General features: G+C 37.3%; 1 protein-coding gene and 1 pseudogene across 7 annotated transcripts in view; one reads left to right on the top strand and one right to left on the bottom strand.

Annotated features, from left to right (window-relative positions):
- AGTR1 (angiotensin II receptor type 1) overlaps positions 1 to 15,079 on the bottom strand; it is a 45,101-nt gene extending 30,022 nt beyond the window's left edge. For 3 of the 7 annotated variants that reach the window (NM_032049.4, NM_004835.5, NM_009585.4), the window contains exon 1: positions 14,855 to 15,079. The gene's annotated coding sequence lies outside the window, so the exon portion shown is untranslated. Of the gene's footprint in view, positions 1 to 4,954; positions 5,039 to 14,832 lie in introns of all 7 variants that reach the window. The other 4 variants (NM_031850.4, NM_000685.5, NM_001382737.1 and 1 more) reach the window with 3 other exon arrangements.
- Positions 16,734 to 17,027, top strand: RPL38P1 (RPL38 pseudogene 1; annotated as a pseudogene).

Below are 17,901 nucleotides of genomic sequence, written 5' to 3'. Positions count from 1 at the left end.
CCAGCAGAAGTCCAGGGGGCGCCTCCTACTACCTCAGTTGCCCCAAACTCAGCTGATACATTGTGAGCCAGTATTTTTCACAGGATCATTTCCAGCGCTCCTTCTTTGTTTAGTCATGTATAGATAAACATTCTGTAAGTGAAAGGAAGACTAGCTAGCATTCATTAATGGTTCAGTGTTGAATAAAATACGGCTGACCCATTACTGCTATACAATAATTTTGTATATCACATGAGATGCTCTTATGATTAATAATCTGAATTTGCATTGCTTTCACTTTCCCAAAGCAGACTGGATTTCTTGCTTTGCATTGTTAAGGAAGATACTTAGCTGTTTTATCTTCCCACTCTGTTCACTGACCAGGCTGGAGGGACCAGGAGGCAGCCAACTGCCCATCTTATTTTTCCTTTTTGACCTGGGAGTATTACTGAGGAGCAAAGGTGCAAGCTCTAGATCAAAAGACAGCTCTTACCCCCTGACTGGTTTCATCTACAGTGGCTCTGTTTTTTTCTGGTGTCTATACTGTGTGCAGAAGTATTTTGGCCTTGCCTAGAGGTGGGGAGGAAGAACGCTGCTTTGGATTGGATTTTGGACTTGCAATACCTTGTTCCTGTTGTCCCAGTTCTCTGGGTGAGATGAACATTTGTTTAGATTCAGGAAAGGCACTGAGGCCCAGTTTCAGATAAATAATTATTTTCCACCAGGTCTGCACTGTATTATTACATTTATGAGATATACTAGATCTTTCTGGGATTTAAAAAATGACTCATACATTTAAATCTTAAAAGTCTTAAAAGGAATGACTAATTGAAGGGAAAAGACAACAGCACTCTTGATTCCAGCTAAAAGCCTTTCCTGTCAGCAAAACAGGGCCTCTAAATTTAAAACCTATTTCTTTGAGCTCTTTCAATTGTTAAAAATATTAATATTGGTTGGGTGCAGTGGTTCATGCCTGTAATCTTAGCATTTTGGGAGGCTGAGGCAGGAGGATCACTTGAGGCTGGGGGTTCATGAGCAACCTAGGCAATGTAGCAAGACGACATCTCTACAAAAAATTAAAAAAATAATTAGCTGGGCATAGTGCATGTGCCTGTAGTCCTAGATACTTGGGAGGATGAGATAGGAGGATGGCTTGAGCCCAGGAGTTTAAGGCTGCAGTGAGCTATGATCATGCCACTACACTCTAGCCTAGAGGACAAAGTGAGACTTTGTCTCAAAAATATCTGTCTATCTGTCTGTCTGTCTATCTATCTCTATTTAAATCTAATTTAAATTATTATTTTCTATAGAGTTATGTGCTAAGCACATCTGGCTGTATTATTTAAGCAAAGAAAGAATGTTACTGAGAATTGTGTGAATAGTAGGTTATTTGGAGTACACATGTTTCCTAAAGCAAGCTTCATTTCTGTTTATTGAAAAAAAAACTCAGGCACAAATGACTAGCATTTATCTTGCTTTTGTTTTCTGTTAGTAAGATTCTGCGATTAATATTTAAAAATTCCAAACTGGTTCCAAACTTATTTTATTTATGCTTTCATTGAAAAATGATACTATTAAATGTGTAAAGGAAATATCAGCTGGATATTTATATCCCTTTTTCACAGCTAGTTATATAGCTATTTCAAACCCTTGATGCTTTGATGACTCAAAGACAAATTTGTTTTTAATTTTTTGCCTTATATAACACATGATCATTAGTCCAGGAACTAAATGTTATTGAACTGCTAGGTATAAGTGACTGGAAAGTAACTGAGACTCAAATTTTATTAATGTTATCGTATTAGTGACAAATAGTGATTAAGAACTTTAAGAATACAGCAGGATCATTATATTGATGAAAAATGAAAAACTACTGTTATCCGTGACTGTGTTGGTCTATTCTTGTGTTGCTATAAAGGAATACCTGAAACTGGGTAATTTATAAAGAAAAGAGCTTTAACTGACTCCTGGTTCTGCAGGCTTACAAGGAAGCATGGTGTTAGCTTCTGCTTCTGGTGAGGCCACAGGATGCTTACAATCATGGCAGAAGGTGATAGGGAACCAGCATGTCACATGGCGAGAGCAGGAGCAAGAGAGAGAGGGGGGAGGTGTCACAGTTTCAGAGCAAGAACTCTTTCATTAACATGGGGAGGGCACCAAGCCATTCATGAGAGATCCGCCTGCAGGATCCAAACACCTCCCACCAGGCCCCACCTCCAACACAGGGGATCACATTTCAACATGAGATTTGGAGGGGCAAATATCCAAACCTTATCAGTGACATACAATTTAAATAAAAATAAAGGCTTCTAATATGTACATTTTTATTAAAAAATAAAATAAGAAGTATTCTACCCCTTATTTTGTTTGGCTCTCCAACTGCTTAAAAAATCAATTAATTATGTCTATGCAATGGTGAAATGTTTATCATTACTGGAAAACTAAAGAAAATCTTACAGAATTTTACAGAAGGTAATGAGTAAGGAAGAAAATATTGGCCTTTAAAAATGATCCTACATCTTTTTTACTTTTGCTTACTTGGAGCTGTCAGCAATGTTGGTAACCAAGCCAACAGCCATATATTTTAGTTCTTAATATAACTGTGGGTACTTCTTTTCACAATTTTAAGAAATCAAGAACTGCAACTTTAGAAAAGCACGTGAAACATTGAATCCTATATATTTTAATATGCAAACAAACAGGAAAAACAAAAAATGGTCTGTGAGAGCTGTATATCAGATAATCTAACACTGAGGAAATCATAATTTCAAAAGTATTAAAAACTTCCCAAATAAGTTTAAAAGAGCAGAAAACTTTCTTACCAAGTGGCCAAGAAAGTCTGCTGCATTATTAATAAGTGTGTTTACAGCAGTACTGTCCAGTAGTACTTCCTATGATAGAAATGTTCTAAATCTGTGTTGTCCACTAACCACATGTGTCTACTGAGCACTTGAGATGGGGGTAATGCAACAGAGGGGCTGAATTTTTAGTTTAATTTTAATACGTTTATATTTAAATGTAAATAGCCACATATAGTAAATGGCTACCATAATGGATGATGCAGGTCTATAAATTTTAAGCCATTGAATACGGTTCTTTATTTATTCATTTAAATGTGCTAATCAGGGTTTTCCCATTTGTCATGAGTAGATTTCAGCATAAATTTTTTGGTCCTGTGAAACAAGCTCTGAAGTGCTGTTTACATATCACTAGTTTAAATCAATAAGAGATCAGAGTTCTGTAGTTTTAAGTTGGTAAAAGTTTTAAAGGGAGATTGCAAAGTTCAGAAGGTCCTTTTGTGAACACTTTTTGTATTTCAGTATACTGCCCACAGATTGAGATAGGGCCTTGGAGATTATTTTACAGGAAAACCAGGGCAAAGTTGCTAATTAATATTAGAACTGGTATAACATCAGTTCTTTGACAAACAAAAAATAGCTTCTTAGACTTAAGTATGTTTTGCTTATTCATCTGAAACTTAAAGGTTTGAAAAAGTTTAAAATTTCACAGAATGTTTTCTTCCATGTTTTGTTATTCCTAAGCAAAACATCATAGTTATTTTGGAAGCTTTGCTACAAATGTGTGAATGTTAGAAACCAAAGACTTCCCAAATAGAGTAGAAGGAAGGCTGATTCCAAGAATCATTTCCAGCAGGAACCCCCTGGGTAAGTGTCCTGCTTTTCCTGCTAGTGGGCTGATGGGATATCATGGACAAAACTCCTTCTGTTCAATACTTTTAAGATGTAAAATAAAGCATACTGTCTTTGTGTCATCCTAGGATATGCATCTTAATACACTCTTTCCAGAGCTGGATTTTTGCAGAAAATCTGCACAGTCCAGATTCCCAAGCTTCGCTATACCTGAAAAAAACAAAATCAGAAAAAAAACCTCCCAAAACAAAACATCCCTAAAGATATCCATTGACAGAACTCTGTAAAGTGTTACTATTTTTATCTCCAAGATTAAAGGCATTCTAAATAGTTTTCTAACACCACCACTGTGGAGTACCTTCCAGAAAATGATTCCTACTTGCCAATCTGTTACAGCAAAGAAGAAGCATCCCTCTAATATTTATCTACCCACCCAGCACCTACGTATCTATCCTCTACTTTGATAAAATGGGAGCACAACATATTCAGAATAGGACAAGCTACTCTTCATTTTCCCTGGAGGGGACTAGGAGAAGCTGAGGGCTTGTTCTTTGAACTGAGTTTTTGTAAGGAGGGGCGTGGGGAAATCTTATTAGTTAGGTAAATCCCGGACTCTTGTTATGAAAAATATCACATAGGCCCATGTAAGAAGAGTTAGATAGACAAAACAGTCCTGGCTAACCCTGCTGAGCTCCACAACAGGTTGTGAGAGAGTTTAATGCCCTGCCATGTGACTCATGCCTGTAAAGAGGCTAAGAGGGCACCTCCATCTCCAATTTCACATTGTCTTTTTTCCTATATCTCATCATTGGAGGAAGGTGGAAGTTTGTGAGAATGAAACTCCGAGACATTTGGGTTTTCTGAAGGTGAGAAGGTCAACTGTTAAGGTTTATGGTCTTAACACTTCCGAAAGTGAGCACTGGGGTATCAAAGAACCCAAATCGCCCAGGAAGTAGCTGACAAGAGAGTACAATCATTTCCCTTCTGGTCCTCTTAAGCCCTATACAGGAAGAACACTGCTCAAAGGAATCACCTGTGGCCATGTGGAGTCCTTGCCAAAGGACTTTCTCACATGATTCATTATCAGTACATGAATGGAAATAGCTTAGTAATTCTGATGTTATTTATGTTTAAAACCATATAAATACAAACGCTCTTAATCTGTATATTGGAGGGGATGTGGTAACACTGGGATTTCATTATTTTCTGCTTCCTCTACTTCTTTCACAAGATAATGGTGTGTGTGGGTTTTTGCGCTCTCCCCACTGCTGACACATTAAAGAAAACTGCTGACAGACCCACTGCTGTAGATGTAAGGCATTTACCTGGTGCCGACTTTCTGGGATGGCATCAGTGAGTTATTCAGATAAAAACCCAGCCATTTTAGATCAATTTGTCAAATATCAAACCTAAAAAGAAAAAAATGATTAACGCATTCCACTGAATATAGTCAGGTTTTTATTTTTTAATTTACAGAGTAAGCTTCCACACTGCATCTTAAGAGTGTTTTTGAAGGGAGTGAAACCATCTGGTTCACATCAAGAACATATTTTTCCTTATATAGAGCTAGACTGCATTAAGTGGTGGGCACAGGATCTCATCATCTTCCTGCCTGTGGTCAACATCTTCCCCAATGCCCTTGTAGATATACATTAGGCAAAGAGAAAAAGAACGTTTTAGGGTAAAATAGTGCAGTCTCATTCCTAGCCATTTCTTTCTATAGACATGTAAGAAATGTCTATAAATGTAAGAATATGAAAATAGATTGGATTTTTACTTGTGAATCTACAGCTAAACTTAAATGATTCTATTACTTAGTATAAAGCTTATGCACATTTTATTGTACCATAATTTAAAAAATACCTTTTTAAAAGATTACCTTTTCTGTTTTTCTTTTTCCCAGAAGTAATGCTAACGCGTCGTATAAATGTCAAGTTACAGAAGGATGTAAAATAAAAGTAAACATATCCTTACCCTCTATTACTTTTCTCTGCATTTACTTCCCAGAGGTACTACTAATAGTTACCTATGTCTCCTTCTAGGACTTGTATACACATGCATATAAATATGTATATTCATAAAAAATGCATACACATGCATATAAATATGTATATCTATAGTTTTTTCTTTTTGTACATCATAGTATTTTCTTCTTTGTTTCATTTATTTTACTTATGATGGCTAGCAGATTTCCTACATCAGCATATATAAATCTACCTCATTCATTTTGATGGCTGTACAATATTTCATTCATTGTACTCACACATAGTTTATTTAACCAGTCTGCTATTAATGAGCCTTAATCTTTTTTTTCAGTTTTCCTTTTGGCTGCTACAAAAATGTCCCAATAATAATATTTACATATATGCACTTTTGTACTTATATGAATGTATCTATATAATAAATTCTAACAGACTGTTGAACCAAATTGTTTGTATATGCTAAGTTTTTGATAGATATTCATAAAATGTCCTCCGTTAAGGTTATACCAATTTATAATACCAAGAATCTGGGTTTTATCAAATCATTTTTTCTTTATCTGATAAGTAAAAGGTATATCTTTGTTTTGACTTGCATTTCGTTAATTATGAATGAGGTTGAACTTCTTTTCATTTTCTTATTGTTTCCATAGTAATTCTTCTACGAGTTTTCTCAGCCATGGCTTTTGCTCATGTTTCAATTAGGTTGTTTATTGTTTCTCACATTAAAGAGCTCATGTTATGTTAAGGAAACTTAAATTTTACATGTAATGGCTGGCAAATAGCTTTCCCAGGTTTCTTGTTTAGATGATAACTTTGTTTATGGTACTTTTTACTGTATAAGCATTTATTTTTATGTAGTCAAATTCATCAGTATTTTTAATTATATATAGGAGGATTTTTTAAATAAGAAATTTATTTAAAGTTGAAGAGTTATTCAAGAAGATTGTATATAGGTTAATTTTTAAACCAACTTTAGCATACCAAGTTTAGCATTTAGGCATACCAACTTTAGCACTGTTATACAGAATAATGTTAGCATTGGAAGGATCTATTAACAAAAGAAAGTTCCCATAAAATGATTTCTTCTATAAAATATCATGACCGTGTGAATTCTGTGGACTCTTTGTGAGACACTAGTGTACCACAGGAAAAAAAAATGACAGAAAGGGTCAGATTTATAGTACCATTCTCCAGAGAGTTAATAGTAGTTGTCTAGTACCTAAAATCTAGAGTGAATTATAAATAAAGTAATAGAAATTCCAAGACAAATAGAAAGTAAAAAATATAAAATCAATAGAGATCCATTATAGAAAATTTTGTAGGTACATACAAAAGAAAGAAAGAAAAAAAATCATCCTCAAAAGCTCTTAAGATTTGTTGTATATTGTTCCTAATTTTTCTTATTGGCTCCACAGATATGCATGCATTTAAAAAACATGTAAGTGATTTTACTAACAAATCAATCCTAACATAATTAAATGAATTTCATTAAGATGCCAATAACCCAAGACCTTAATGGCACCTTGACAAGCATCTACCAGGTATACACATACATGGGATCACACTTACGATTCATATGTTATACAGTGATTTTTTCACTTACTACTATCTTTACTTGCCACTAAATATTTTAAAATATATAAATTATATATTACATTTTATATTTATACAAAATATATAACAACTGTAATGTTCTATCATATGGCTTAAGTTAATGGAAATTAAAAGGAATAGGAATAACTGTGTGTTCTCTCAAAAATCCACTCTGGTAACTCAGTAGATAATAGACCAGGACATACTCAAGAAATCATTACCCAAGAATCACATCTTTTTCATTCATGATAAAGTGGCAGCAATTAACTGTGTAACTGAGGGCTGGGAGACATCATGATAAAATGTGTTTTATATGAAGTGACATCATTTGAATGGGAGAGTTAGATTATTAAAGCTGGGTTAATGGAAAATTCTCATTCTAAGGGCAGGAGCATTTGAATTGATGGCAAGAAGAATTTGAGTCAAAAAGTAAAGTATATGTGTTGATGAAATTGTAAGTGTGAAGGAAAATATATGTGCTGATAAAGTTGTTAAGTATATGAAATTTACTAGAAAAAAATGCTATGCTACGAGAATTTTTCCAACTGTTAAAAAGAAAAAAATGCTATGCTATGAGATTTTTTCCAACTGTTAAAAAGAAAACCTTGTGCAGATTGCATTCAGCCACAGCCACAAATATTGGGGCTTAGTGAAACCAGGGGACTCTTAGGGGCTATAGAGGGTGATCACTGGTACTTTATTTTTTATTAGTACTAAGAAACTCTGCCTGCTATGTGTAAGATATCTTTTGGGTATTTCTCCTTCTTTCAAACTTCCACTACTTGTCATGATGGCAGCCCTGGATTGATTTTGCCCTAACCCATAACTTACAAATTAGATGTTGTAATGTCAGTGCTACCTGAATATCTACAGTTCTAGATTCAAGGAGCTGGTGAAATTTTATCTCCTACAAATTTTCTCAATACCATTGAAAAAGTGGCTGCTCAGTCCTGTTGGCACAGGTTTCCCCTCAAACATGATCCCAGGGAACCCATACACACCTGTCTTTTGACCAACATCAATAAGCCCCTGTCAAAACAGGAGATATTCGGACAGATCCAACTGATGGCTGTCAGAGAATCTACCTGCACTGGGTGAAACAGCTCAGGGACTGAATCATTTGGGGAGTCACTGGCTTGAGCATTGACTGGTTAGTAACTATATTTTACTACATTTTTGTAAACCATGCTTGTAGTAAATAAGCATTTATATTAAAAGCTGAAAAAGTAATATGTAATTTGAGTTGGAATGCTGAACAGTCTATGTGTATGTAGAAAACAGAAAATAACTTGTCCAATCCAAGGGAGAATTTACTTTATAGCATGAGAGCACCAAAAAGTAAACAGAAAATTTTGGATTTTTATGGGAAAAAATAGAGATATCAAAAGTTGTTATTATTATTATTATTATTCGAGACAGGGTCTTTCTCTGTTGCTCAGGCTGGAGTGCAGTGGTGTGATCATGGCTCACTGCAGCCTTCACCTCCCAGACTCAAGCAATCCTCCCAACTCAGTCTCCTGAGTAGTTGGGACTACAGGTCCCAACTACTACATGGTGTGCGCCACCATGCTCTGGCAATTTTTTATTTTTTGTAGAGATGGGGGTCTCAGTTTGTTGCCTCAGCTGGTCTCAAACTCCTGGCCTCAAGTGATCCTCCCAAAGTGCTGGGATTACAGGTCTGAGCCACCATACCTGGGCTCCAAAGTTAATTTTTAAAAGTATGTCATCTACTATTTTTTTAAAAAGCTTTATTGAAGTATAATTGATATACAAAAAGCATGCATATAAAAATATATTTTAGTGGATTTGGACAGGCTGTCATAGTTTTGGTATTTTTTCAAACAGTTAAAGAAGGAATTTCTAGAATTTCCCATTATTGCACTTAAAGGTAAGGTGACAGGAAAACATTAGATCAAAATGGAATAGATCTTGTTTGCTTTTTTTAAAAAAAATTTATGAGGGAAACAGATTTTGATCTCAAATTAAAACTTTAAATAAATTTTCAAATAATTAGTTGGCCTTAAAAAGTAGGTAGCCCAGTATAGAGCAGACACTGTAGGTAACAGCTAAGAGAACAGGCAATGAAATTAGAATTCTTATGTTTACATCTCGACTGTATCAGTTACAGCTTTTGGGTAAACTACTTATCTCATTATTACTTGGTATCCCAATCTATAAAATAAGGATAAAACAGAAACTATCTCACAGGGTTGTTGTGAGGATTAAATAAAAAAAATTTAAAGAAAGACTGAACGTTGTGTTTGGCACATTTATGTACTCAATAAATATTAGCTTTATTAAAAACGTTAGTTAAGAGCCAAGAAAACACCTCTTCATAATTATTCTAAACAAGCCACAGGTACGGTACACTGTGTTTCTTTTCCCTTAATGTGCATTTGAATCACCTGAGGATTTTGCTAAAATGCAGATTCTTATGCAATCAATGGGTCTGGACAGGGTCTGAGATTCTGCAGTTCCAACAAACTCTCAGGTGATACTCATGATGCTAATATGGGAACTGGGATACGTGAGATAATTTTAGATGGTTTCCTCCTAATTTGTAATACAATGTGTCTCAACAGGGGGAATGAGGACAGGGGGAGAAAAGAAGGTGTGGATGAAATGTACAGATTTCATATGCCCCCTGGGTGATTCCAGTATTCTTGTCTCACCTGCCTCTGTCATCTTAAGAACCACCGATTTGATATTTCAACCTTTTATTCTTTTTAATTTTTTCTTTCCTTACTCTTTTCTCCACTTTACCCTTGTCATTGCTGCTGTAGACTGAAAAACTGTATTCATGCTTAGCTCTTCAATTAGCAAGACAAAAGCATCAAATTTGTCATTGTGTGTAATAGGACAGTGTATCTAAATGAGATTAGAAAAATTATTTATTTCTTAACATTTCTTTTTTAAAATATAAAGGTCTGAAAATGTATTTAACATTTTCTGTAGTTTTAGCCAAAAACAAACAAATAAGCAACAAACAGGCAAGCAAGTGACTCCGTGGAACATTTAGTAAAAGAAAACAAGGATGCGTTAGGTGCCATCCATACTGTCAAAGGAGTTATAATCTCACGAGGAGGGGAAAGGAGCAGTGGTTATTACAGAAGTGGCCAGAACCAAACAGTGTGACCACTTTAGACACACCATCTGGTCTGAAAGGCAGGACAGAAGGAGGGGCCATTTTTAAATGGCTTCCCACCCTACTAGCATTAGGCTATTAGAGACCCATGCCAAAATATGTGCTTAGCTTGACTACTATCTCTCTACGGCAAAGACCATTTTTATACTTTGGCTTGTATCCTCAGGGCCTAATATCACTCAGATCCACAGTATTTCCTCTGTAAGTACCTGCAGCTGTTGTTGATATATTTTATAGACATAATTCTTCATTTTCCAAAGTAGATAAGAGGAGCTTTGACTAATATAGAATCAGAAAATATCTAAATAAACTTAGCAAATTAGCAACAACAAATTCTCTTTAAAAGTACAAAATCAGGCCAGGTGAGGTGGCTCATGTCTGTAATCCCAGCACTTTGGGAGGCCGAGGCAGGGAGATCACTTGAGGTCAGAAGTTTGAGACCAGCCTGGCCAACATGGCGAACCTCTTCTCTACTAAAAATACAAAAATTAGCTGGGCGTGGCGGCATGCACCTGTAATCCCAGCTACTAAGGAGGCTGAGGCAGGAAAATCATTTGAACCTGGGAGGCAGAGGTTGCAGTGAGCCGAGATCATGCCACTGCACGCCAGCCTGGGCAACAGAGCAAGACTCTGTCTCAAAAAAAAAAAAAAAAAAGGTACACAATCATATGTGTATTTCTCAATATTCTTATTTTGTACTTAAGCATACAGAGTACTTAAATCCATTGAACTAAATAAAATTTCTACATTATTTGGTGAAGATGAAGGCATCTATGTGTGTATAAGTGGACAAGAAATCACACAAAAGTTGACTTAAACTGAAAGATTATTAATTCTATGATTTTAAGTTTTAAGGAAATCTAGAATTGGGACTTGAAATAGGAAGGCACATTGTAATAATAGGAAACAAGGCACACTCATTTTTTACCCATTTTCCAAACTTTTAAATGTTAAAAAAATTACATGTGAGATTAACAACACAATAAAAACATTCTTGGTAATAGGAAGGAGACTGATAATCACTGAGAGATTCTAGACATTTGTTTCTACTTAAGACAGTTAGAGAATGCACCTATCGAAGAAACAAACACAAACAAAACAAAAACAAATTCAAACCCTTCTAAATTAACTATAAGAATAATGTAATCATACAGCATTTATACTACATAATGAATTTTTTGTTACTTAAATATTTTGGAAGACAATTTTGATTTTCATATGCAAGAAAGTTTTTCCTCATCTGAGCATCTGCTTTGATAAGAAGAAAAATCCCATAGCAAATATTTTAATGTTAATACAACCACAGCTAGCAGCAATAGTCACTAGTCCTTTTATGACTGTTCCAAACATATACTCTGTTTTCTATTTCCAGTTGTCTAATTTGTCACTAACGTAATAACTAGGGAAACATCTGGCAATTTATAGTTCTTTAAATTATAAGATTTTTTTTCTGTGATTGAAATATTGCATTTTAGAGCTTTAATAGGATAATGGTAGTCACTTGCCAATTTAGTTGAATATTACCTTAAGTCCCTATAGATATTCCTTGATTTAAGATGGCTTTATATATTAAGCTATTAAAAAGTTGATTTTTAGAAGCTAAAGTTCATATTATGAATAAAACAAAATGTAAAGTGATAGCTAAATTTAGGATACAAATCGATCAAATTTACTGTTGCTTATCAGAGATTGAGTATACTGCTTTAACAAGCAGCTACAGTGAAAAGAAACACAAACCACATAATCCAATGATCTTAGGCAATTTTGAAAAAGAAACATTAGGAGAATTTTGAAGGAAACTAATAGCATTTTCCAATCATCACGTGTTGGAAAGCTGATTTGTCAGTTTGCTAGATAACATGGGAGAAAAGTGTTCCTAAGCTGGGCTTGGACACTTGGTCACATTGTGTTGCTCTGGCTCCATATTTGTTTATTGACACAGCATATCTTCAAAACAACGTTTTAATCTTTACAACACTTGGACTGACTTCAAACTTCTAAACACAATTCTTAATTTGGTAGCCTACTTGGGAGACTCTTTGGCATTCTCCAGTCATGACTGACCAGAAAAAGGGCTAGGTAAACTAATAAGCATGCGGCTAGAGGGCAGGAGCTCGCATTAAGCAGCCAAAACACCTAAATGTGAGGGGTCACTATTTTTGTCCCTGTAACAAATTCGAAAGCAAAATACAGCAACTCTCAGTTATCTGCTTGAAAGGACACTGTGGCAGCACAGATAAAATGACAGCAGACATGCATCATGCATTTAAACTATGAGTTTTAAATTCCTTCTCAGCTAAGCATTTTACCTGGGCTTTGGGTAAGTAGCAGAGTAAACTTTTCTTCCTTATTTTCCCTCTAGCATAGGGGAAAATTAGTCATTAGTATTAATTAGTCATAATTGAAATAATAACAGCAGTCGTAAGTAGCAGCAGGAACAAAAAACCAAAACAAAATTATATACACAAATACTCACACAACTCTGATCCCAAACTAGAAAGAAGAAAAAGAAAAGTGAGAAACCTGAACAACCCACAAATCTGCCCTTTTCTGAATACTGACCCACGATAAGAGAGAGAAAGACTGAAGCTTAGAATGCTGTGGGACAGCAGCATTGCCGCAGCACCTGTGACTGAAAGACATTTTGCAAATCGCAAGGAAGACAAGTCTTCCATTGGCATCAGTGGAACCGGTGGAAGAAAACCAATTTTATTCTGAGTTGGATGATGGAAGAGTTGATTCAGTTTAAGGTCAAAGAAGAGCAGAACCAGAAATCAAGGCCTCAGGATGGGAACAAAGAACAATGAAGTCAGGGGGAAAAAAGGTGGCGGGGAGAGAGAGTGGGTAACAGACTTGAAACTAAGAATCACAAAACTTAAGCAAATGTTGAGACCTAGCAATTATGATGGGCAGTTTCTATAACCTAGCCTTAAGCTTAGACTTTTATTTTAAAGCAATAACCAAAACAAAAGAAATTAAGGAATTATATCACTGGAGGGAACCTTATGGGCAGAGACTTGAGGTTCAGAGTTGTGAAATAATGCTCTTACTATCACACAGCAAGTTAAGTGGGAGTCTCCATTTCCCTTCTCCCCATGCTTTCCTGCCCCTGCACTGTCAGGAAGGGTGGTGGAGAGGAAGGAGAAGGTACCAGGGCACCCGGGAATACATCACAGCCTGAGGACAGGTTATGCAGGTGGGGCCTTTATAGCTAGGGAAACACCGGAGAAGACAAGGGAAGTATGGCAGTTTCTTCCTTAGAGAAGACTTATAAGGGGGTTAAAGCATATGCTATGTGAAATAAACACCTGGAGATCCAAAACCCTCAGGTGGTAACTAATAATAAGAGAATCATGTTGGGATGCAGCATCTTCAGCGGGAAGCACAAGTTGCTCAACAAAGTAATAAAATAGATCAATAGGGTGCCAAATTTCTTGCCTCTATTACTTTCTCTTCTCAGAATGACACAGGAAATAAATGTAGCCAAGTCCCAAATCTGATCCCAGTACCCAAACTTTCATTAAAAGAGGGCTCCTGAAGGGGGGGAGTAGGTTTTTAATACTTAACGAGGCTATCAGCAAACAAAGAGAAGAGGCCCAGGTGGGCTCAATAGCCAGGTCACAAATGGTTGCCCAAAGAAAAAAACGGTGCAGAAGGAGACGCTTTGGGGAAGAATTGCTGAGGTCTTCGGGAGACTATAGCAGGCTGGCACTATGGAGATGTTTACCTGGACATTTAAGAAAATTGGAGGATGGAGTTGGGTGTCGGGCAGTGGCCTGCCAGAGGCTCTGTTTAGTCCTGGAAGCAGGAGACCTTTTGCTAAAATTCTGTCTCAGTTACACACATGCATTGGCTAAGGCTGTAGGGATTGGGGTGTGGAGACATCTTGCTTCTCCTTCCTCAGTTTGATTATTCAAAGGACATCTGGGAACCCTGAGGGTGGGAGAGTTTGGCCAAGGTTGGAGCGATGTCCCGTGTCTAGGACCCACCGCTATGGTTTGCAGGGAGAGAGCTAAAGGGACGTGAGCAGTGCAGGGACATTGACTGGGAAGCAGAGGGCGTGGATGGAGACACTCTTAACTTCACCTCAAAAGTAGCACAACTTTTAAACGAACGCCTTGCAGAGTCATACCGGCTTCCCGCTCAGATGATGGCTAAAATACAAGAGTTAACTAAAAGCCTCAGGAAGAAAGTTTATTGAATTGCATCTTATTTCTGTAGATTTCTTCCTTGCACTCGGAAGAGTTTGGTTAAAATGGATTGAGAATTTCGAGGCACGTGGCAAACAAACCTACCTTGTTCCCTCCCATTCCAGAAGCCCCTCACCTGATTTGGGAAAGTGTGGCCAGCTCCAGGGGCAGGCGCTGACCAGAACTACGGTCGCTCTTTCCTTGGTCCCCGAGAGCTTCCCAGTATAGAGCCAGCAGTTAGGACACCGTGACATGAAACTTAGCACCCCGCCCTTGAAGTCCCCCAAGCATGCCTGGCGGTCCGCGCGGACTCACCCGCGCCCCGGGCGCTGCGTCACGTCCCGCCGAGGGCCGGCTGCGCTGGTGCGGGTCTCCCGCCCGCCGCCTCGGCGTCCCGGCTGTGCGCCCTCACTCGCTGGGTCCGCTCCAGCCGCTCCCCATCGATCACCGCCGCGGCCCGGCAGAGCTGCTAGCGGCGCGCCGGTCCAGACGTCCTGTCACTCGCTGCTGCCTGGGGTCCTGGCTGTCAGGCGCTGGAATCATTGGCGAGGAGGCAGCTCCGAATTTATAGTGAGGGGCGTTGCTGCTTCTTGGGTTCCGGGGACGAGGCTCTGTTTTGCATTCCCTCCTCCTCCGCCCCGCCCCGGGAGACCCTCCCGGCCCAACCTCCTCCCTCTCGGGATATTGACGGCAGCAAGGATGATGCCACAGTCGTCCCGTGTCAACTATCAGATCAGCGTTCACCTGGTCCCGAACCCCGCCTAGCGAGGGGTCGTGAGGGAGAGCGAGCTGGGGGTACAGGAGTATCATTTCCTGCGGAGATTCGTGTTCTTCAACATTTTTTTTTTCTGAACTTGGAAAACTTTTAAGGACGAATTAGAGAACTTCTTTCTCTTTCCTATGAGTAACTCGAACTTTGGTAATACAGTTGTGGATCATAGATTACATGGATTAATTCCAGGGTTATGAAATTCAAGGGTGGACACTCATTTGTTCCTATTGGACATGCTACCCAAGTTGCATTTTAAAAATGTATTTTAAAAACCCAATAAATATTTAAAGAAGAAATAATATCAATTCTTCACAAACTCTTCCAAAAAATAGAAGAGTAAGGATGATCTCCCAACTCATGCTATGAGGCCAGTATCACCCTGATAACAAAACCAGATAAAGACATCACGAGACTACAGATCAATATTTCTTAAGAGTATAGATAAAAATTCTCAACAAAATGTAGGCAAATTGAATCCAATAACATATGAAAGGGACTATACACCATGGTCAAGTGAGGTTGATGCCAGAAAGCAAGATTAGATTAGTTTACCAAAAATCAATTAATGTTAGATAGGTGAGTAGGGTGACTGTAGTTTACAGTAATCTATTGTATATTTCAGAGTAGCTAGGAGAAAATAACTTGAATGTTTCTAGCATGAAGAAAAGACAAATATTTAAGGTGATGGATATGCCAATTGCACTGATTTGATCTTTATATGAATGCATTAAATTATTGCATGTACCTAAAAAGTCCTGTCACTCGCTGCTGCCTGGGGTCCTGGCTGTCAGGCGCTGGAATCATCGGCGAGGAGGCAGCTCCGAATTTATAGTGAGGGGCATTAAATTATTGCATGTACCTAAAAAGTGTACATCTATTGTGTATCAATAAAAATAAATTTAAAGAAGTAAAAAATGGACAAAGCCTACATGATTGTCTAAAAAAATTTTTAAAAACTATTGGACAAAATTCAACACTTTTTCATGCTAACACTCAACAAACTAGGAATAGGAACTTCCTCAAACTGTGAAGTTTATTTATGAAAAACTTAACTAATATCACACATAATAACGGAAGACAACGTTTTTATGTCTAAGATCAGGAACAAGACAAAATGTCTAGTCTTCCCATTTCTATTTAACTTTGTACTAAAGGTTCTAGTGAGGGCAATTGGACAAGAAAAAAAGATAAATGGCATCCAGATTAGAAAGAAAGTAAAACAATTTCTATTTGTAGATGACATGATCTTGTATTAAAAAGCCCTAAGGAATCAATTAATTAACTATTAGAACTAAGAAACAAGTTGAGCAAGTTTTTAGAATACAAGATCAATATACAAAAATCAGTTGTATTTCTATACACTAGCAATAAACAATCAACAAATGGAATTAAGAAAACAATTCCACTGTTGGCTTCTCACCACTTGCTGTGTGGGTCTGTGTCCTCTCCCTGCCTCACATGCTGCCATGCCTCAAAAAGTTAAGGAGATCAAGGACTTTCTGCTTACAGCCAGGTGAAAAGATGCCAGATCTGTCAAGGTCAAGAGAAATAAGGATAATGTGAAGTTTAAAGTTTGATGCAGCAGATACCTTCATACATTAGTCATCATAGACAAAGAGAAGGCAGAGAAACTGAAGCAGTTCTGGCACCCTGGTTTGTTAGAGAAGGAGATGAAATCAGACACACTGATTTGAACTGTGTTAAAAATTTAAAAATTCAAAGATAAAAACAATTTTACTTACTATAGATCAAAAGAGTAAAAATACTAAGAAATGACCTGGTGTAGTGGCTCACTCCTGTAATCTCAGCACTTTGGGAGGCCGAGGTGGGTGAATCACAAGGTCAGGGATTCGAGACCAGGCTGGCCAACATCGTGAAACCCTGTCTCTACTAAAAATGCAAAAGAAAAAAAAAAAAAAAAAGCCAGGCGTGGTGGTGCATGCCTGTAGTTCCAGCTACTCAGGAGGAGGAGGCTGAGGCAGAAGAATCGCTTGAACCCAGGAGGTAGAGGTTGCTGTGAGCTGAGATTGTGCCACTGCACTCCAGCCTGGGTGACAGAGTGAGACTCCATCTCAAAACAAACCAACCAACCAACAAAACAAAACAAAACAAAAAAAACCCTAAGAAATAAATTTAACAAAAGGATCTAAAACTTGTAGTCTGAAAACAAACAAAAAGAATTGTTGAAATAAGGTAGACCTAAATAAATGGAATGACATTCCATGTTCTTGGATTGAAAGATTTAATATCGTTACAATGGCATTAATCTTCAAATGATCTACAGGTTAAACAAAATCTCTATCAAAACCCAGCAAGCTTTTATTGCAGAAATGAATGGAGTTATCCTAAAAACATGTAGCAGTGCGAGGGGCCCAGAATAGTCAAGACAATTCTGAAAAAGAACAAACTTACCAATTTCAAAATTTACTGCAAAATTACAATAAACAAGACAATGTGGTACTGGCATAGCAATAGATAGAAAGATCAATGGAACAGAATTGTGTCCACAAACTAAACCCTTACATTTATGAGCCACTAGATTTTGAAAAGGGTTGAAAAAATGCAGAATGAGTAATCTTTATTACAAATG

This window comes from Homo sapiens, chromosome 3 (assembly GCF_000001405.40).
Source record: "Homo sapiens chromosome 3, GRCh38.p14 Primary Assembly".
Taxonomy (NCBI): domain Eukaryota; kingdom Metazoa; phylum Chordata; class Mammalia; order Primates; family Hominidae; genus Homo; species Homo sapiens.
Note: the sequence above shows the minus strand (reverse complement) of the source record. Positions and strands in the feature narration are given on the sequence as shown.